The sequence below is a fragment of the Homo sapiens genome, chromosome 3 (assembly GCF_000001405.40).
Source record: "Homo sapiens chromosome 3, GRCh38.p14 Primary Assembly".
Classification (NCBI taxonomy): domain Eukaryota; kingdom Metazoa; phylum Chordata; class Mammalia; order Primates; family Hominidae; genus Homo; species Homo sapiens.
In genome coordinates this window covers 25,435,857-25,456,979 of record NC_000003.12, presented here as the reverse complement: position 1 = coordinate 25,456,979, position 21,123 = coordinate 25,435,857, and the positions used below count along the sequence as shown (strand labels likewise).

General features: G+C 42.3%; 1 protein-coding gene and 1 pseudogene across 9 annotated transcripts in view, besides 3 other annotated features; one reads left to right on the top strand and one right to left on the bottom strand.

Moving 5' to 3' along the window:
* RARB (retinoic acid receptor beta) overlaps positions 1 to 21,123 on the bottom strand; it is a 768,612-nt gene that overhangs the window by 140,953 nt on the left and 606,536 nt on the right. The gene's annotated exons all lie outside the window — the stretch shown is intronic.
* Positions 1,221 to 1,761: an enhancer, noted in NCBI's record as "H3K27ac-H3K4me1 hESC enhancer chr3:25496710-25497250 (GRCh37/hg19 assembly coordinates)". NCBI's record gives its function as "activates a minimal SCP1, AML or CMV promoter by ChIP-STARR-seq in naive H9 embryonic stem cells {active_cell/tissue: H9 hESC(naive)}" and the evidence as "EXISTENCE:reporter gene assay evidence [ECO:0000049][PMID:30033119]".
* Positions 1,860 to 2,484: an enhancer, noted in NCBI's record as "NANOG-H3K27ac hESC enhancer chr3:25495987-25496611 (GRCh37/hg19 assembly coordinates)". NCBI's record gives its function as "activates a minimal SCP1, AML or CMV promoter by ChIP-STARR-seq in naive H9 embryonic stem cells {active_cell/tissue: H9 hESC(naive)}" and the evidence as "EXISTENCE:reporter gene assay evidence [ECO:0000049][PMID:30033119]".
* Positions 6,065 to 6,565: an enhancer, noted in NCBI's record as "H3K4me1 hESC enhancer chr3:25491906-25492406 (GRCh37/hg19 assembly coordinates)". NCBI's record gives its function as "activates a minimal SCP1, AML or CMV promoter by ChIP-STARR-seq in naive H9 embryonic stem cells {active_cell/tissue: H9 hESC(naive)}" and the evidence as "EXISTENCE:reporter gene assay evidence [ECO:0000049][PMID:30033119]".
* H3P10 (H3 histone pseudogene 10) lies at positions 15,364 to 16,016 on the top strand (annotated as a pseudogene).

Sequence of the window (21,123 nt, the reverse complement as noted above, 5' to 3'; positions counted from 1 at the left end):
CAGAGTGAACTATAGGCCTTATTTATCCCAGGAGAAATCAAGGGAGCCTTCCAAGAGGAAGTGACTGGGCTATGTTTTTAAATGATAAATTGGTTCTTTCTACTGTTTTTATAATTTGAATCCTGCAAATGCCATAAATGAACATAATTTGAATGCTACAAATGCCACAAAAACAGAAAGGGAAAAACGTTATGTACGATCCCCAAAAAAAATCATCTTTGGAAAAATTTTCCCACTGGTAGTAAAAAATTAAGTATTTGACTCTCTCTCTCTCTCTCTCTCTCTCTCTCTCTCTCTATATATATATATATATATATATTCAAATATCACCCTCAGAATTGATGGTCAGTGGTCTTTTATTTCCTCTATGTGGCCTATAACACTGAGAACAATGCAAGGCAAAAAAAAAAAAAAAAAAAAAAAAATCAGTGGTATAGTCTGTCAGATCACCAAAGCTAGCCTCAGGCGAACATGCCAAGACAAATTCTAGAATTACAACCAGGAAACCAGGATATGGCATCAATATAAAAGATTTGTACTTTAATGCAATCTCTTGCCTTTTTGGTAAGGTAGCAAAAACATACTTTGGCAAAGTTTATCAGAGGTCCTTTTCTTTTTTTGCCTTCCTCCACCCCCCAAGAAAGTCAGTGGGAAATAAGCAGGGGGACAGCCCATGGCTTTCCTTTTACCAGTCATTTTTGGTATTTAAGGCAGATACAGAGTGCTCAGCCATTGATCTGTTCACTGTCATCCTGCTTAAATCAATAATCTATTAGTCCCTTTAAATTAGAGTTAGATTCATCAAATGCCCTTGAGAGGCCTCAAACATTTTGTTCCTTATTGCAGGCAAGCACAATCAGTCTATGGAATGATAAAATTTTTGCTTGAAAACTCTGCCGGCTCAGCAGACAATGTGTTCTGTATTAGCTCATTCAGCGATCTCAGGCAGGCCAAAAAAGCAGTTTTTAGACTTCCCAGGGGGAAAAGAGGCTTGTGTCATTCAATAAAACAACTACACTGCAGCCATCCTGATGTGATTTCAGTTTGGAGAAGCAGTCTTAGAGGAATAATTCGGATCTGCTTTTTGTCTCCTGCTTTTATTTATTTCCTTGCCTACTTATGGACTTACTCAGTTCTGTTTGCTGCTTGAATGCCCAACAAGCAGCAGCCTCCAATGTGGCATCCAAACTGCTAACCAGATGGGCTTCCCTGCTTCGTCAGGGAATGGGCAAGTCAGAGGAACTTCTGCTACTCGGGTGAGATGGATGCTTGGCTCTGTGGGTCCCCGCCCAGAGCACAGTCAGCACCAGTGATGCTGAGAGGGCTGCTCTGAACTGCGCACATGAGTGGAGACAGTGAGCCTCAGGGAAGATGAGAATGAACCAAATCTGCAGCATTGTCCTCGGAAGCTGCTAGCCCCTATTTTAGACATCTCCACCCCCACAACATACAGATAACTATCACTAAGGAAAACAAAGCTAGAATCCCCTTCCTTGTACAATAAATTAGTCATGGGACTCATTGCTTTTAAATCAATGTTCCTCAAAGTGTGGCCTGCAGCAGGGGAATTCTTGAGGTTAGGGAGAAGGACATTTGCTTTAAATTCGTGCTTTTCAGACTATCAATGGTGAAGCACCATTTCTTAGTCTTTCCCCCAATCCCTCATGGATTGATCAAATTCAATACAAATGAATCTCCAGGAAATAGGAGTTAAGGAAAAACAACGACGTCCAAAGCACAAGCTCCAACTCTTTAAAAAAAATTAGATTTAATGGACATAAAATTACCCTGTCAAATTGCTCCAAAAGTTTTGAAACACTTGCTCTCAATGTCTGAACTTCTCTCCTTGCGGACGGGCACAGGTCTCCGGATTGCATTTTGAGAAACAGTCCTCTAAAAGGACTTCAAACTCAGAGGTTGTTTGCAGACAAAACAAAAACAAAGCTAAACAAAATCTCCACCGACTGGGATGGTACAAAAGCAGAATTCCCGAGTTCCCACTGACGAAGCTTTCTTAAACACTGCCACAGCTCTTGGGTTGATTCATTCCCAAAAGAAAAGAAATTAACATTGCTGCCTGTTAAGAGGACTTGGCACTTACGAATTTAACTCACCTGAGAAAACACAGTATAAATGTCCTTGTTGTTACAACACACCTGAGTGTCATTTAAACACACAGAAAGTCTTCGACAATAGCTCCCTTCACAATTCCTTACATGCTTGGCATTTTTCTAAAGGTTAGATTAAGTAGCAGATAACATTTTTAAGAGAGCTCAGTATACTTTTTTTTTTTTCTTTGTGAGAGCTAATTTACGGCTGGCTAAAACGATGTTGACAGATTTCAGGATTTTAGGTTGGGCCTGATTACAGGCAGGCAGGCATCATGCATTAGGAAAGCCTAGCCTTTTTACTAGAACCTTCTGTGATTAAGACAGTATTTTAATGCACTCTCTGGGCAGCTGAGCTTTAAAAGAAAAAGGAGTTATAAAGCAAAAGACATTTCCTGCATGGCCCCAGGGGAATTTTGAGCCCAGAGCTCCGAATCCCAGTGGAAGGGAGTAATTTCAGCTAATTAAGGAAGAAGAGCAAAGTTGCGTTTGGTCAAAATGTTCGTTTGGACTTCATTTGTGTTGGCACCAAAGAGAGCCTATCTGGATTTTTTTCTCCCTTTTTCTGTGGATTCACTGCAGGACTGCAAAGCCTACAGCTCACATACATTAGGGAGAGATTCAAAGGAAACGCCAAAGTTCAACTAAAGTACAAGTAATTAGAACCAGATTCTCCGCTATTTGCGTGTGCGCATGCGTGTATGAACTCGTGTGTAGACATTTTAGTAAAATGTAATTTATATGCATCCAAACATTTGGGGCACGGGAAGACTCCATACTGTCACTCACTTAATTTTTATGTCGCCTTTTCAGGAGAGGATCTGCTTTTAATCATCTTTCAGGAGAAACGGTTTCCACACACATGGGTTTTGCAAATCTGTGAATCGCATCCTGAATTAGGTAATTGCCAAACAAGAAAAACTCTGCTTTGAAATCTTGCCTTACTCTGCTGCTGGCTTTGTTATTATTAAGCAGCTCCAAGATTAGTCCCGGGTTTGGGGTGGCTAGAGAGGGAGGACGATGGGGAGTGAAGGAAAATATCATTGTTGGGCTTTGGCAGTCTTGACTCAGTAACCTGCCCGTGACCCTAAAGAAGTGTGTGTTTGCCGGGGTCACCAGGGATCCTGGCCGAGGGCTGGAGCTGGGTTGTGAGAAACTCTGCTATTCTGACCACATATGAAACAGGTGCTGAACATAGGCAGGAGACAAAAGGAAGGGCTGGGGGAAAGAATTTGGTTTTGAGTCTTTAATAAAGCCTTGCTCAGCAAAGTGTGGTCCTGGACAAGCAGCATCAGCATCACCTGGAAACTTGTTAAAATGCAGAATCTTGGCCGGGCACAGTGGCTCATGCCTGTAATCCCAGCACTTAATCCAAGGTGGGAAGATCACCTGAGGTCGGGAGTTCAAGACCAGCCTGACCAACATGGAGAAACCCCATCTCTACTAAAAATACAAAATTAGCTAGGCGTGATGATGCATGCCTGTAATCCCAGCTACTCGGGAGGCTGAGGCAGGAGAATCGCTTGAACCCGGGAGGCGGAGGTTGCAGTGAGCCGAGATCGTGCCATTGCACCCCAGCCTGCACAGCAAGAGCGAAACTGTCTCAAAAAAAAAAAAAAAAAAAAAAAGCAGAATCTTGGCCCCACCCCAGAAATGCAGAATCAGAATAGGCATCCTAACAAGACCCCTTGATCATTTTTACGCACATTGATGTCTGAGACACCCTAACATAAAAAATGTCTTGTTATTGTCCTAACCTTCCTGTAATCCCATTTTGCTGAGTTAATTTAGCATCAGAACTCTGTCAACTTGCCCTTTGCACAGGTCCTTACTAAATACTCCACCTTGTTAAGTACTTAATGCATTAAGATCTTCAGGCTGTGTGTGTTTATGCTTACCATAAACCAGAAGTCTTCGTTCACTCTCACAGAACTTTGGCAGTGGCTTTTAGTTGGCAGTGTGTTCAAAGTTGTACCAGAAGAGCCTGAACTAATAGTAATTACTATTTACTGAGCGCCTACTGTGTTAGGGACCATGCAAAGTGCTTAATAGACATTAGTTCATTTACTCCTTCCCCCATACCATGAGGAGAGGGAGAACTGAGCACCTTAGAATTAGGAAATTTAAAACACAACAATCCTTTCAGACTTTATAAATGAGATGTAAATGACTTAATATGTTTACTATTATCTCACCAAACCCCCCCCGCTTTTTAAATTCTCATTTTCCATCTCCCTGATTTGTTTCCTAGTCTGGGAAGGTCACAGGGTTTGCTCTGGTCAGGCCTACTTACTCAAATTTGAGAAGTGCAGAACTTTGTAATTCTCTTGCTTTTAACTCACGGTTATAACTTTCCAAACACTGATTCCATTCAAGATATGGTTAAATTTGACAAGATAGTTTGGGCCTTAGAAAGAGAGTAAGACTCAGGACCCACTAATCACTCTGTGTTGTAGCTACACCTGTCTGGGCTTACGGCCAGCAATAGAAGTTATTCCTGGGACTGGCTTTTACCACGGGAAGTGCTGTCATATTTTCATAAGGTACCATGACACGTTCAACACCAACATTTCATTTTGATAATATGTGTTCTCACCACAAGGAATATATTCAAAAATATCTCATAGGTTGTTTTGCATGACATTTTAAACACGTTTTCTATCACTATTTTCTAGGACATACTAAGATAGCTTATGCCAGTGTTCAAATAAATCCTCTCTTACAGTCACTTAACAGGCCGACACATCTAACTGCTTATTAATGATCTGAACGTGGAGGCATCAGAAATGAAACTGCATTAAGTGAACAAATGCTAGAACAGGTCTCGGGAGTCATGTGTAGACGAAGCTAATTGCTTTGCAATATTGAGGTCCCCTGAAGAGTTTTTCTCAACATCAACTCACTCAGTTCCATATTTCACTTCTATCTTCTATCGGGATTCCCATAATATTTACAAAAGGAACTATCACACTAATAAATGACATTATTTTATCTGATCGAATTTCCTGCACACAGAGTAGATTAAAACAGGAGCATTAACATGTATATCATTTCAGATACACACATTCACATTCATTTCAGATATCCACACACACATTCGTTGCTTATGTACTATATATCTATTTGAAAACCACATTAGTACCAGTCTGACAGAAAACCAAAAGGGAAATACTTGGAAGACAACAATGAAATTATGCTTTGTCACATACCTTGCCACTCGTCTAAGATCTAAGGAAGTTCAAGTATGATTGATTACACTAGAATTTAGCCAAAACCCTCTTTTTCTCAATAAAATAATGCTTGGCTTACTCAGAATTTTGCTGCAAAGAAATTTTTCTGTTTTGTTTCTTACAGGTATGCACCATATGAACAGCCTCAAAATAACTTTGAAACCGATTTAATCCTCACTGTGTGGGTTTTCTTGGTTCCTAAAAAGAAAGAAAATGCCATGAGCCTGCATAAAATTGTGTGGAGGAGGTGACGGGAAAGTGGTAAGCTTTGCTGCCAGGTGGACCTGAATTTGAATCTCTCTTCTGCCACTTACAAATGGCCATAGAGTTTTATTTCTCTGAGCCCTAGTCCTTCTTTGCTGAAAATGCAGATAATCCTGATTTCTGTTGGTAAACCAGAGACAACGTTTGCAATTTGCCTGACACACAGTAAGTGCTCAATAAATGATAGCCAACCTTCACCTCCACTTTTCCCCTCCTCCCACAAACACATTTCCCTTCCACCTTCCTTAATCTAGGGCAGGGTTTTTTTTGTTTTTTTTCTGAGATGGAGTTTTGCTCTTGTTGCCCAACCTGGCATGGGCAGCCATGCCATGGCACGATCTCAGCTCACTGCAACCTCCGCCTCCCGGGATCAAGAGATTCTCCTGCCTCAGCCTCCCAAGTAGTTGGAATTAATAAATGTGCGCCACCACGCCCGGCTATTTTTTTGTATTTTTAGTGGAAACCGGGTTTCACCATGTTAGCCAGGCTCGTCTCGAACTCCTGACCTCAGGTGATCCTCCTCCTTGGCCTCCCAAAGTGCTGAGATTACAGGCGTGAGCCACCGCACCCGGCCGGGTAGGGGTTTTTAGCCAGCACCATTTTGTCTCTCACGGGACATTCTGCAACATCAGGAGACATTTCTGGCTGTCACAATTGGGGGCTGCTCCTGGCATCTAGTAGGTAGAGGCCAGGGATGCTACAAAACATCTCACAATGCCCAGGACAGGCCCCTCCTACACAACAAAGAATTATCTGGCCCCAATTATAGATAGTGCTGAGGTTGAAAAACACTGATCTAGGCTGAGGATACTACTGGTGGGGAGACTCTGGGACCAAAGAGTGGGGACAACAAAGAAAATACTACAGCTCTGGAGAAATGGAAACTGCAGAGTCCTACAATGCAGATGGTATGAGCTCAGTTCCTAATTCTGCCTCTTACTAGCAGTCACTTATCCTTCCTGATCCTCAGAAAAATTGAGATGACAACCACGCTTACTACATTGCAGGATTTACACTTTGTAAACTATAAAAAGTATAAAAACATGTAAAAATAATAGCTAATGCTTTATTATTAGAAATTTATTAATTATTATTTATTATCTGGGGAAAAGTGGATTAAGTCCGTATCAATAATGCGACTAATATGGTCACCACAGAAAACAACAGAACCATCTCCAGAGTCTAGTCAAACATTTCAACAATAGTAATCACTAACACTCATGGAGCATATACTGTAGGCTAGTCATGCTCCTTCACTCTACTCTAAGCATTTTTCATCTATTAGTACATCTGATCCCCAGAGTGACCCAATAAGAGAGCTAGTCTTGGCCAGGCGCAGTGGCTTAAGCCTGTAATCCCAGCACTTGGGAGGTTGTGGCGGGTGGATCACTTGAGGACAGAAGTTTGAGACCAGCCTGGCCAACGTAGTGAAACCCCATCTCTACTAAAAATACACACAAAAAAAATTTGTGGTGGCGTGCGCCTGTAATCTCAGTTACTCGGGAGGCTGGGGCAGGAGAATTGCTTGAACCCAGGAGGTGGAGGTTGCAGTGAGCCGAGATCGCACCATTGCACTCTAGCCTGGGCAACACAGCAGGACTCCGTCTAAAAAAAAAAAAAAGAGAGAGAGAAAGAGATTGCTAGTCTAGTTTTACTATTTCTTTTTGACAGGCAAGAAGAAACCAGAGGTATAATGTGGTTAGGTAACTTGTTCAAGGCCATACAGCTGCTAAATAAAAAGCATGGATTTGAACTTAAATGGTCTTAAGTTCAAGGGAATGGGTCTGACCCCCATGTTGAGAGAAGACTATGACATCCCCTCTTAGGACTGTGCAGAACTCCTGTCACAAGCAGCTGTCCCTGGCAGGAAGTTTTAGAGTATGCAGGGTACGTCTAAGTCAGACAGACAGACACACAGTTAACCCAGCATAAAGAACAAAAGTAAAACTGGAAAATTCAAAAGAAAGAAGTTAAGGAGACAGAAATAATGCCCTGTTTTCTTTCCAGTCAGAGCAATAAAATAGGAAAGTCCCCCAGAAGCAAACACAGGAATTAGAAGGCACACACAAACACACTCACTAACCCCTTCTGCATGTTCCCTGCTGAGAACCCAGCCCTCAGCAGGGAGAATGGCAGCAGCTAAGACCAAGATTCCAAAGGCCTCTGGCGGCAGTCCAACGGCGTGTGGCTGAACACTGTCAGGAGCAGTCACTCAGGCCAAATGGAGTCTGCACAACCACCAGCTCCAGGGCTCTTCGGGGAGGCAGAGGAGGAGAGGACTCTGAGCCCCCAGCCCCTACGCAGGTTCTCCTTCCCTCACCTGAAGGCCACATATACTCCCTTAACCAAAATTTATTTGGCACAAGAATGAACCCAATATCCAGAATTGGTTGTGCAATAGCTTTTCTGTCACTGTCTACAGAACTAGCACGCCCCAAATGAGGGGCTGAATGACTCTTTTCCCAAGATGTCTGGGGATTGCGGGGGTGGAGGGGGGTGAGAGGAGTAACTTGAAGTAGACACTGAACATCCTTACTGTGCCCTCTACTTGGCTAATACATAATGCATCAGTTCAAAGGATGCACTTGATATTTCATTTGAAAAGATTCTCGGCCGGGCACGGTGGCTCACGCCTATAATCTCAGCAGTTTGGGAGGCCAAGACAGGCGGATCACCTGAGACTGGGAGTTTGAGACCAGCCTGACCAACATGAAGAAACCCTATCTCTACTAACAATACAAAATTAGCTGGGTGTGGTGGTGCATGCCTGCAATCCCAGCTACTCGGGAGGCTGAGGCAGGAGAATTGCTTGAACCTGGGAGGCAGAGATTGTGGTGAGCCGAGATCATACCACTGCACTCCAGCCTGGGCAACAAGAGTGAAACTCTGTCTCAAAAAACAAAAAGAAAGAAAAGATTCTCAAGTTTCTATATAGAACTGTTCAAACTACAGGAATGCTACATTGTTGGTTATTTTTTTTCCTTCAGAGCAGTGATTCCTAGGTATGAGAAAGCTAAGAGTTTCAAAGTGCTTTAGCATTATTTCTTTTTTAAAAATGTTAAGAAAATCTTGAAAAAATAATTCAAAGACATTTTCACCAACCTTCCAATTGAGAGCAGTCCCCCAAGGTTCAGGTCTTTTTTTGATATTCCCGAAACTTGTCCACCTTTATAGGCAAGTTGTCTGAGGCATATGGTTGGAAGTATGAACTCGGGAGTCGGCCTTCCTGGATTCAAATCCTCACTCTCCTACTTACTGGCTGTGTGACTTTTGGAAAGTTACTTAACCTCTCTGAGCCTCAATTTCTGCTTGTATAAAATGATAGTATATTCTTCATTGCATCATTGTGAGCATTAAATAACATCATTTTAAAGTACTTTGCACAATGCCTGCCACATAATAGTGTTACACAAGCAATTATTATCATTATTGTATCATGCTTATGCTGATGAATCTCAATGCTATTCACCTTCCCTTCTTTCCCCATCTTGATTTGGTGACCTTCACTTCCATTTTCCCTCTCAAAATAATTTTCCCTTCTGATGTACCTAAGAGATTCTCTAAAAACTAATGTGAGGAAAGCAAGTCATGTCAGTTTTCCCTCTCTCAGCTGTCCTTTCCTTCCCAGGCCCACAGGCATTAATCAGAAGTGCTCTCATTCCTCGTAGGATTTCCTGGCCAATCCCCAATCCAGGCTGCCTAGCCCCCTCAGAAATGGCTTCTTTAAACCCCTCTTTACCACAGCGATCTCTCATTGGAGAGCCTTCAATTGCTGTTCAAAACCCAAAGTCCCAAATCATTGCAAGGACCAAGGTGGTTTGGGGAGCAGAAGGCAGTGATTATCAGTCAGCAACATCAACTGCTGACAAACATTTATTGAGCACCTGCCAGGGACCAGACCCCTTGATACATGCTGGTTTATAAAGAAGTTAGAATACACTATCTCCTGCCCACGCAAACAGACAACTGAAAAATGCCACAAGGCAAACATGGCCCCAGCTAGAAAAAGGATCTGATGGGGGTCAGAGGCTGTCATGAGTGGGTGTGTTACTAGCATACACAAAGATTTTGGCGGCCTTGACTTTAAATACTCAGGGCTAAAAGAGTGTCCAGTACATATCAAAAGTTCAATCAGTGTTGGTTAAAAAAAAAAAGAATTAAAAAAATGAAATCTGCATACAAATCCTTACATGTGATGTGAAATAAATACTTTCAGCCAGTTCAGCAGAATCTGCCAACAGCACACTTTATATGGCGGGGGACAACTTGAGGGGTGTTTTCACACACATTACCCCATTTGCTGCCTCCTAACAAAAGTGTGAAGAGCAAGGATTATTAACACGATCAGTTTTTTTTTTTCTTTTTTTAAATCTCTGTTATTCACCTGAGGAAACTGAAGCTTAGAGAAGTTAAATGACTTGGCCAAGGTCACACAGTTAGGAAATGAACTGAAAGTGAGTTCATCCCCTGAATCCACACGCAAGATTAGTATAAATGAGAAACCAAGTACACATTTATATTCCTAACAGTCCTATTCATTTTTTAATTTTTTTTTTTTTTTTTTTTTTTTTTTTTGAGACGGAGTCTGGCTCTGTCACCCAGGCTGGAGTGGAGTGGTGCAATCTCGGCTCACTGCCAGCTCCGCCTCCCGGGTTCACGCTATTCTCCTGCCTCAGCCTCCCAAGTAGCTGGGACTACAGGCGCCTGCCACCACGCCCGGCTAATTTTTTGTATTTTTAGTAGAGATGGGGTTTCACCGTGTTCGCCAGGATGGTCTCAATCTCCTGACCTCTTGATCTGCCCGCCTCGGCCTCCCAAAGTGCTGGGATTACAGGCGTGAGCCACTGCGCCCGGCCCATTTTTTAATGTTTTAAGGCAGGGTCTGCAAATTTTGTAAATGGTCAGATAGGAAATACTTTAGGCTTTGTGGGCTGTCTGGTCTCTGTCACAGTCATTCAACTCTGCCCCCCATGGGGGAAGGCAGTCACAGACAAAATGTAAATGTATAGGTGTGACACATTCCAAGAAAGCTTTATTTACAAAATCCAGATTTGGTGTAGTTTTCAGCCCAGCTTTAAGATAAAGGAAATAAAAACTATTCCTCCTAACAGTGACTGTACATGTTACTATAAAATTCATGCATTTCCTCACTTCCAGGGTAAAGACAGAGGATGACAGCCATATGTCACAGAGACGTGGGTAATATTTTAAAGATACTAACACTACAGTGTGTTGTAAGGGCTACACATTTTCTTCAAAACCTCATGTATACATTTTTATTAGTTAGGGAGGTCAATATGTCCGCCATAAATACATTTTAAAATTCCTTCCCACATATTCTGTCTATTGGGATTATTTATCATGCTTTGTTCCCTGGCGTAGAGCCAGGGAGAATATGGGAGTTTTAATACCTTTAATCCATTACATGGATTTTTTTAGAGCTCCATAAGACAAAATGAAATGCACTCTCATGGTCATATATGCAATAAACCTGGTATGTCACTTAATATTTCATGTCCCATTTAATATTTCAGTTGTAACTGTTCCCAGCTTTCAACGTCCAAAATGACACAATTCCAGCCATCTTTTCGCTCCAATTGCTTTTTTGTTCTTGTTTAGAGAACTCCTGACAATTTATAAATAATAACTCTCACTGTGGACTTTGAGAGGCAATTATTATTGCTCTCTGATATTCCTTATTATTTTTTTTTGAGAAGGAGTCTCACCCTGTCACCCAGGCTGGAGTGCAGTGGCGCGACCTCGGCTCACTGCAACCCCTGCCTCCTGGGCTCAAGCAATTCTCCTGCTTCAGCCTCTCGAGTAGCTGGGACTACAGGCGTGCCCCCACCATGCCAGGTTAATTTTTTGTATTTTCAGTATAGACAGGGTTTCACCATGTTGGCCAGGCTGGTCTTGAACTCCTGACCTCAAGTGATCCACCTGTCTCGGCCTTCCTAAGTGCTGGGATTACAGGCGTGAGCTATGCGTCCGGACTGCTCTTTGATATTCTGAAGAAGTATGAAATAACTGTCTACTGACATATGCCACCCAGTTTACGGCAACGTGGTGAACTGGTCATGCTTATTTTAATTAGGCCATGTTAACCTTGTTTTGAAAAGGAGGTGTTTGGCTGGGCGGGGTGGCACATGCCTGTAATCCTAGCACTTTGGGAGGCTGAGGCGGGCAGATTGCCTGAGCTCAGGAGTTCAAGAGCAGCCTGGGCAACACAGTGAAATTCCGTCTCTACTAAAATACAAAAAATTAGCCAGGTGTGGTCATGTGTGCTTGTAATCCCAGCTACTCAGGAGGCTGAGACAGGAGAATCACTTGAACCCGGGAGGCGGAGGTTGCACTGACCTGAGATCGTACCACCACACTCCAGCCTGGGCGACAGAGCAAGATTCTGTCTCCAAAAAAAAAGAAAAAAGAAAAGAGGTGTTCATTCATTTCTCCAGCTAACTGATATGGTAACACTGGTCTCTAAAGATGGTCTGCTCAATACACCTCACCTCCTGTAATGCAATGGGTCTCTTTTTCTCAAATTGCTTGTAAAACTGACTCACACATCTACCGGAGCCCAAATGTGAATACCACCTGCCTATCACTTGCACATACCCTCTTTTATTTTGAGATGCAGATGTTTGCTTATAGTGCTGTTGTATTTTTACTTGTTCCTACAGGAGATACATTGAATCTTCCTGCCCGTACTGGACACTGCAGTTCAAAATAATAGCAAAAGACCTGCAGGTAATAGGCCATAATACTCACTTGATACCCACTAAAGGAGGGTTTAGATCACTTGTTCTCTGTTACCTTTCATGAAACATCTGTTTCATATGAGCCACTTGGAAGTGTATACATCTGTAAATAATAAGCCTGATGTGTACATAATTTAATGAATTAGGACATAAAAAGGAATTGAACAGTAGGGGCACAGCAATTAGAAGAACTGCCCATTTTGTTAAAAACGTATTATTTCCAGCTTTCACTTGTTAACCCTTTTATTATTCTGTGGGTTCTGAGGCTTCTAATCTTCCCCATCCCTCTTCCCTGCAAACAAAATAGAAATTTATATCGTTGGCAAAGAAAAGGAACCCTACATTATACAAAGCTGAGTTGGGAACTTTGGACTCACTTTCTCCTACTCGGGAGATTCAAGGTAGGTATTTGAACCTCTCAGTGCCTAGGAATCTGCGTCTGCAAAGTGGGGATAACAGGGCCTTTCTCTTCAGGCTGCTCTGAGGACTAGATGACATGGTTCATTTTAAGCACCTGACACATAATAAGCACTTAATAAATATTAATTATGATAGTGATTGTTTTACTTTAATAAAAATCAATCGCAACTTTAAATCATGGGGGTGGGGAAGCAAACCGTGGTTCAAAAGTTTCTCTTGAGAGTTGTTTTAGCGATTTATTTATTTTATTATTATTATTATTACTTTTTGAGACAGAGTCTAGCTCTGTTGTCTAGGCTGGAGTGCAGTGGTGCTATCTCGGCTCACTGTAACCTCTGCCTCCCGGGTTCAAGTGATTCTCCTGTCTCAGCCTCCCGAGTAGCTGGGATTACAGGCACCCATCACCACGCCCAGCTAATTTTTGTATTTTAGTAGAAATAGGGTTTCACCATGTTGGCCAGGCTGGTCTTGAACTCCTGAGCTCAGGTGATCTGCCCACCTTAGACTCCCAAAGTGCTGGGATTACAGGCATGAGCCACCGCAACCGGTCCTTTAGCTTTATCATTTTTTTTTTTTTATATATATTTTAGATGGACTGTCTGTCTGTCGCCCAGGCTAGAGAACGATGGTGCAATCTTGGCTCACTGCAACCTCCGCCTCCCGGGTTTTAAGCGATTCTCCTGCCTCAGCCTCCTGAGTAGCTGAGATTACCGGCGCGCTTTAGCTTTATTTTTATTTACTTTCTTCACACCATTTCTAGGGATAGGCCAAAAAAAAAGGGGTGGTGGGGGGGACAAGGGGGAGCAATAATGTCCTGGCTAACAGGAAGTACCATCAGAAAATCTATTTCTGTGACCTCAAAGTAAGTGCCAGTAGCCCAGGGAAATATTCCACTCTCATGTTTTCAGGCCAGTTTGCCAGCAAATGCACTTATAAGGGCTTACTTACTTTGCCATCCCAGCCAAACTGAACCTCCCAAGTTTTTGACAGCCCCCATCAAGTTTACTAGAGGTGTTTTGAATAACCAAAAAATATTAGCTCACTTGAGATGTTCTCAATTTCGTTTTCACTGAACTACACTCAGCATATTTCTGAGCACCTACTGTGTGCCGCACTCTGGGTTATGAGCAGAGGACACACGTAAGCAGGAGGAGGCACCCGGGGGAGAGCTCATGGTATTTCCCAGAAGGCAAACTGAGGCTTCCATAGAATATGGCCAGTTCCTCTCTGCCTCCCTGAAGTTTGTTGAAATGTTCAAGCTGAGTTGAAAGCTTGAAAATGTTGGGAGATACTCTGCCCATCTCAAAACCAAGCAGGTGTGGAGCACGGGAATAGACATCGTATGTCTCCATGATTTGATTGCTACAGGGAATGTAATTCCCGCCCACTGAGATTCTGCAAAAATCTTGGTTTAGCTGTGCAAACTAAATGTTAGCAAAACAAGTGCTAAATACTTGCCAGGCCCCAGGAAAAATAGTTCCACCCAGAAGGAAAAGGAGTTAAACAATGACTGAAATCACCACCCTACAGCATTCTGTTTACATTTTCCTGCAGTCTGTTTACCTGCTACATAAAGGGATAATTAGAGCTTGTTAATAGCCATAGGAGAGAAGAGTAAAGGCTGAAGGGAAAAAGGAAATAAAGAAAATGAACAAATACTGAAAGAATAATAATAGCTGAAGTATGTAGAAGTGAATTGTTTAATACAGTAGCCACTAGCCATGTGTGGCTATTGAAAGTTAAATTAATTAAAATAAAATAAAATTGGCCAGGTGTGGTGGCTCACGCCTGTAATCCCAGCACTATGGAAGATCGAGGCGGGTGGATCATGAGGTCAGGAGTTCGAGACCAGCCTGACCAATATGATGAAACCCCGTCTCTACTAAAAACACAAAAATTAGCTGGGCGTGGTAGCGCGCTCCTGTAATCCCAGCTACTCAGGAGGCTGAAGCAGGAGAATGGCTTGAACACGGGAGGCGGAGGTTGCAGTGAGCCGAGATAGCACCACTGCACTCCAGCCTAGGCAACAGAGTGAGACTCCGTCTCAAAAATAAATAAATAAATAAATAAATAAATAAATAAAAATAAAATAAAATTAAAAAGTCACTTCCTCAGCTGTATTAACCGCATTTCAAATTCCAACAGCCATAAATGGCTAGCGACTATGATATTAGACAATGTAGAATTATAGATCCTTTCCATCATTGGAAACTTCATTGTAGGAAGTTCTATTGAAGGGCACTGATATCGAGTATATTAAAGGGTTGTTTATTAGAACATACATGTGGGTTCAACCATAGTTTACTGAGGATCATAGACCAAGTACTATATTAGCACTGGGAAAACAGAGGTAAAAAGCACAATACCTGAACTCAAAGACTCTCAGTTTAGTGAGAAGACCCAGTCAACAAAACAAAACAAACATATGCAAAAGGAGAAAAGGGTGAGAACACAGAAAAGAAACCTGGTAATTTTAATGGTAGCTATGGCAGTAGGTATCCAGGTGTTTGCAGTAAAGCTGTTGTAACTTTTCTGCATTAAAAAAAATTCATAAAATATCGGGGAATTGGATTTGCAGTTGGGGCTCTCTGACGCCAGCGCCACCTCTAGTTCGCCGAGCTCTGGGCGAAGGAGAAGGGGGAAAGTAAGGAGGTGTCCATACCACGGTTCCTACAAAGCACACTACTCGAAAATCCAACCCGTGGAAAAGCATCCGGGAAGAAACTGGCCACAAAAGCCATTCACGAGAGTGCGCCCTCTACTGGCGGGGTGGAGAAACCTCATTGTTACAGGCCTGGGACTGGGGTACTCCGTGAAATTAGGCTTTATACGAAGTCCAGTGAACTGATTCGCAAACTTCCCTTCCAATATGTGGTGCAAGAAATTGCTCAGGACTTTAAAACAGATCTGAGCTTCCAGAGCGCAGCTACTGGTGCTTTGCAGGAGCCAAGTGAGGCCTATCTGGTTGGCCTTTTTGAGGGCACTAACCTGTGTGTTATCCATATCAAACGTTTAACAATTATGCCAGAAGACATCAGCACACTGCATACGTAGAGAACGTGCTTAGGAGTCCACTATGATGGGAAACATTTCATTCCCACCCACCCCCCCGAAAAAAAATTTCTTCTTCCTGTTATTGGTAGTTCTGAATATTAGGTATTTTTTTCTAATGCAGTCAAAAGGTACCTAGGTATATGATTGCAAGTGGAAAAATAGAGGACAGAAATTAGGTATTGGCAGTTTTTCCATCTTCATTTGCGTGTGAATTTTTAATATAAATGTGGGGATGTAAAGCATTAATGCAAATCAAAATGTTTCAGTGAACAAGGTTCAGTAGTTCAACTTTATAATAATTATAAATAAATCTGTTAAATTTTTCTGGACAATGCTAGCATTTGGATTTTTTTTTAATTTTTTATTTTTGGGGGGGACGGTGTCTTACTCTGTCATCCAGACTGGAGTGCAGTGGCGCGATCTCGGCTCACTGCAACCTCCGCCTCCCCGGTTCAAGCGATTCTCCTGCCTCAGCCTCCTGAGCAGCTGGGACTACAGGCGCGGGCACCACCACGCCCAGCTAATTGTTGTATTTTTAGTAGAGACGGGGTTTCACCACATTGACCAGTCTGGTCTCGAATTCCTGACCTTGTGATCCACCTGCCTCGGCCTCCCAAAGTGCTGGGATTACAGGTGTGAGCCACCATGCCTGGCCTGGATTTTTTTTTTAAATAAATTTCTTTTTTTTTTTTTATTTTTTAGACAGGATCTCCCTCTGTTGCCTAGGCTGGAATGCAGTGGTGCAATCCCGGCTCACTGCAGCCTCAACATTCCCAGGCTCCGATTATCCTCCCACCCTAGCCTCCCGAGTAGCTAGGACTACAGGTGCGTGCCACCACGGCCACATAATTCTTTTTGTAGAGACAGGGTTCTGCCGTGTTGCCTAGGCTGGTCTCAAGTGCCTAGGCTCAAGTGATCTGCCTGCCTCGGGCCTCCTGAAGTGCTAGAATTTCCGGTATGAGTCGCCATGCAAGCCTAAAACAAGTTTCTTATTGACAACTATGTATATATGTAAAAACAATCTATTTACTGAGCATCATGTGTCAAATACATTGTCTTATTTAAGGCTTTAAGACTGATCTTAGGCTTTCAAGGGAGGTGTTATGGATTCATTTTAAAGATTAGAAAAAAACCAAAACAAAACCTGGAGCTCAAGCTTCCACAGCAGGTACAGTGCACGAAGAATGTCTACCCAACCTCACTGTATCACACTGCAGGGTACCATGCTGTATTTCACTGCATCACATGTTAGCGTCTTACAGATTTAGATCTGCTTCCACTTAGAACCCACTACACGACTTCTAGCAAGTCACTTCAATTTGTCCACCTGTCTCTTTTTCCTCAAAATATATAATTCAGCAACAATTAGATTTCAAACAAAAGAAACAGGTAGAATACGGTATATGAAAATTCAAAATACAGAATACATTCCATTTAAGACATATTTGAGCGGGACACAGTGGCTCACACCTGTAATTCCAGCACTTTGACACGCCAAGGCAAGCAGATTGCTTGAGCCCAGGAGTTTAAGACCAGCCTGGGCAACATGGTAAAACCCTCTCTCTCCAAAAACCTAGCCAGGTGTGATGACACACACCTGTAGTCTCAGCTACATGGGAGGCTGAGGCGGGAGGATTGCTTCAGCCCAGCAGGTTGAGGCTGCAGTGAGCTGAGATCATACCACTGCACTCCAGCCTGGGCAACAGAGCGAGACCCTGTCTCAAAAAAATAAAAAATAAGACATGTTTGAAGTCACTGAAATGAGAGCATTATCTGAGAGGCCAATTAGATGCACTATGATTCATGTAAGTTTCACTAAATGGTAATGGTTAACTTAGGTTTGGGATCCTCTGCACACAATAGATACTTAAAATACCTAGCAAATAAACATTAATTCGACTTTACTATCAGAAAGTTTTCTTTCTTCCTCTTTGTCTTTTACTTTTTTGCTTTTGGTAGTGGAAGACAAAATAGCTCCACTTAATGAAGAGACACTCTCTAGCACAAACACTTAGCACCCATCTTTAGATAAGGGTTACCAGTAAACTAGAGTAACATGAAAAGCCCAGTTTCCCATCTCTCATCTTCTTGTGACTCTTCAGTAAATACCAGACTAATCCTGGTCTGAACCCCCTGAGCTACAGCAGTGACTAGGCCAGCGTAGACTTCAACAGCAAACAGGATGTAAAAACAAAAGGGCAAAAGAGTAAAATAGCCTCATAGTTTGGGCAGAGTTTCCTCCACAATGTAAAAGACTGGTTTATAGTAGAGAAAATAATGTAATCAGAGGAAGCTATGCGAGTTACAGTTCTTTACCTCTCTTTTTCCTACCTTTCCCCTTAACCAAAACACTCGATGGTGTTTTATTCTTGGGATTATTAGGGCATGAAACATTTTTCAGGAATTCTTCACTCAGCTGACAGGATGACAACTCCTGAAGCTGAGGACCCCCAAGTGAGTAACAGCACATGGAGCCTAGAGAAAAGCCTTTCATGGGACTTGAAACCACACTCTGCCCCTTACAATCCGTGTTATTCACCTTCCCTGAGCCTCCATTTCCTCATCTGTAAAATGAAGATGACATCTCACTTATAGGGTTGTGAGGATTAACTGAAAATGATGTATGTTGTCATTAGAGTAGCATTTCATTAAACATGGAACCAACCAAAAAACTAAAAGCCCCACAACTGTTCTTTAATTTAATCATTTTCAGAAGACAATACTTTCTTTCTTGTTATAGTGCATATACGCTACGATTGTTATGGTGGACATTCTTTGCCTTTCTCTCCCAAACTGAAAGGTAGTTATTGAATCTGGGCTGGCCCTGTGTCTGCTTCACCAGCAGAATATAGTGAAAGCGACTGTATACCACTCTCTGGGTCTAGGTTTTAAGAGGACTGGGAGCCTCTGCTGCCTCCTTCCTGGAAGGTTCACTCTCGAAACACTCTCTCTCGGAATACTGCTGCCATGCTGTGACATGCACAAGTCACATGCAGATCCCCTAGAGCTCTCACCGACAACCAACATCCACCACCAGCCATGAGAGTGAGACTTTTTGGATTGCCAGCCCAATTTAGCCATGGATGATTCAGCCCCAGCTGACAGCATGCGGAGCAGAGGGTCTGCCCAGCGGAGCCCAGCCCATCCACAGAATAATGTCATAATAAATTGTTAGACCAGGAAGTTTTGGGATGGTTTGTTACACAGGAATAAGTCACAGAAATCATAGAGAAATAAGTGATTTTTAAAAATCCAATAGAATCAAACCCATCCCCAAGGAACATGATTACTTAACACGCTCCAGAAACATCCACATGAAAGTCTTCAAGAAGCTAGTTTGGAAGGTGTGCACTTATTCCACTGTGTAAGATAGGTTTAGAACTCCTTTGTGAACTACTTTTAGAGATGATCTATGAGGCCTGCACACAGAAAAACTTCACGCCCGCTCCACTGTGACAAAAATGTATAATCCACTTGATCACCCACCATATAAACCAGCTGTGGTTCTTGGCAGTTCTTAGTTCTTTCCATTATCAATCTTAGGTTCAAAGACATGGGGAGATTTTTGGGTTTGTTATAAGGGGGTTATGTGACAACGACTTGTGTCACAAGTTCTTCCCATTATATCATGAGTTCAGAGGGAGAAGGGACAGTGTCTGATTCATCTTGGTGTCCCCCACAGATCATATCAAGGAGCCTGGCACATGGCAGACACCCAAGAGCCATTTGCTGAATGGCACGTTGCAAAAACTAATCCATCAATGAGCAATAAAAATGTACTGTGCCACGACAGCATCTTTGGGCTAAGTGTATTGTGACAACTTTGAAGGTGACAATGCTCACTTGTAAAAGTCAATCATTTGCAAGAAATCTGGGGATCTGGTAAATGGATGCCCCTGAATCAGGGCACAGTGCTACCTGACAAACAGAAAGGACTGCCACCTAGGTTATGAGCTATAGACCGAGGGATCATTTCACCAAAGAAAAGAGATACCTAATTTAGATATGACCAAAAAAAAAAAAAAAAAGTTTGCTTTTAGCAAAGGCACGTAAGCCACAGGTGTCATGCCAAAATCAGGGCAGAAGGCCTACCTGGTGACTTCCATATGTTTTCAAGACAAGAATAGAATCTTAATTTACATGATCTCTAATCCTTCTACAGATCCTGCAATGTAGACACTATTATTCCCATTTCATAGCTGTAGAAACCGATCCTGTGTCAAGGCAGGCTACTTGCATTATCTTGGACCATCAGGCCATGATGGGGAAGCAGAGGTGGAGAGATGCATGGAAGGGTAATTCTGAGAGGACCAGGGAGAAGCAGCAGTAAAACTCTTGGAAAGGGAGAACTTTTCACAGCTTCTGCTGAGTGCAAGAAAATTATTATACCCCCTTCTCTAGAAAGCCTTTGAGGTACAGGTGATAGGATAAGCTCTGGAAGAGTATTCACAACTTCTGCCTGAACTATAAGCCCAACATGGGTTTCTGGAAACTCTTGCCCGAGAAGCAGAGAGATGCCTTGTTCATCTGCATCCCCCAACTTTCCCTGCAAATCCAAACCTGTTCATCCTACCTCTAGTTTGTATTGTTTCCCCTGATAAGGAGGGCCCCAGTGAACAATTAAAGCTTTCAATAAATAATCTCTAAGCACATTCATTTGATTGACTGTTATTTGATACAGCAGTTAGTTTCAATGGGGCAGTTAATATTGATCACATAAAGTACTCCAGACAAACATGAAACAGTTCCAGAACTCCATGGATTATTACCCTTTATCTGCCAGTCATCTGGGTTACTTGTAATGGTCACGGAATTTAAAATCAATAATAACAATTAGTGTTCTGTACACCAAAACGGATGAATCATGTGAAATGGGTTTTCATATAAAATCAAAGGTAAAGCAAGCCGATAGCATGGAAAAAAAGCTCTCTGAATTTCCAGTGCACATTTGGCAAGGCACTTTCACATGCAAATCCTCAAAACAGGCAGCAAGAGCGAAAGAAAGGTGCTCAGGAGAAGATGTGGCCATAAAAAAGCATATGAAACCCCTGACGATCTTAATCCAAAAAGATGAAGCGTAAAAGATAAAAGTGATCAAAATGAGTTCTAACAAATGTAGTAAAATTAATGGAACCGGTAATTTACTTCCTTGGAGATGTGTCTAGCTACATTTTTCAGCTTTCAATTTCTAGGCATTAATCGTGATTTTTTTTGTAATAAAATGGCAACAACGGTATTTTAGTAGCTCCATGGCACGACTACTGTAATATAATGTATATATAATTAAAA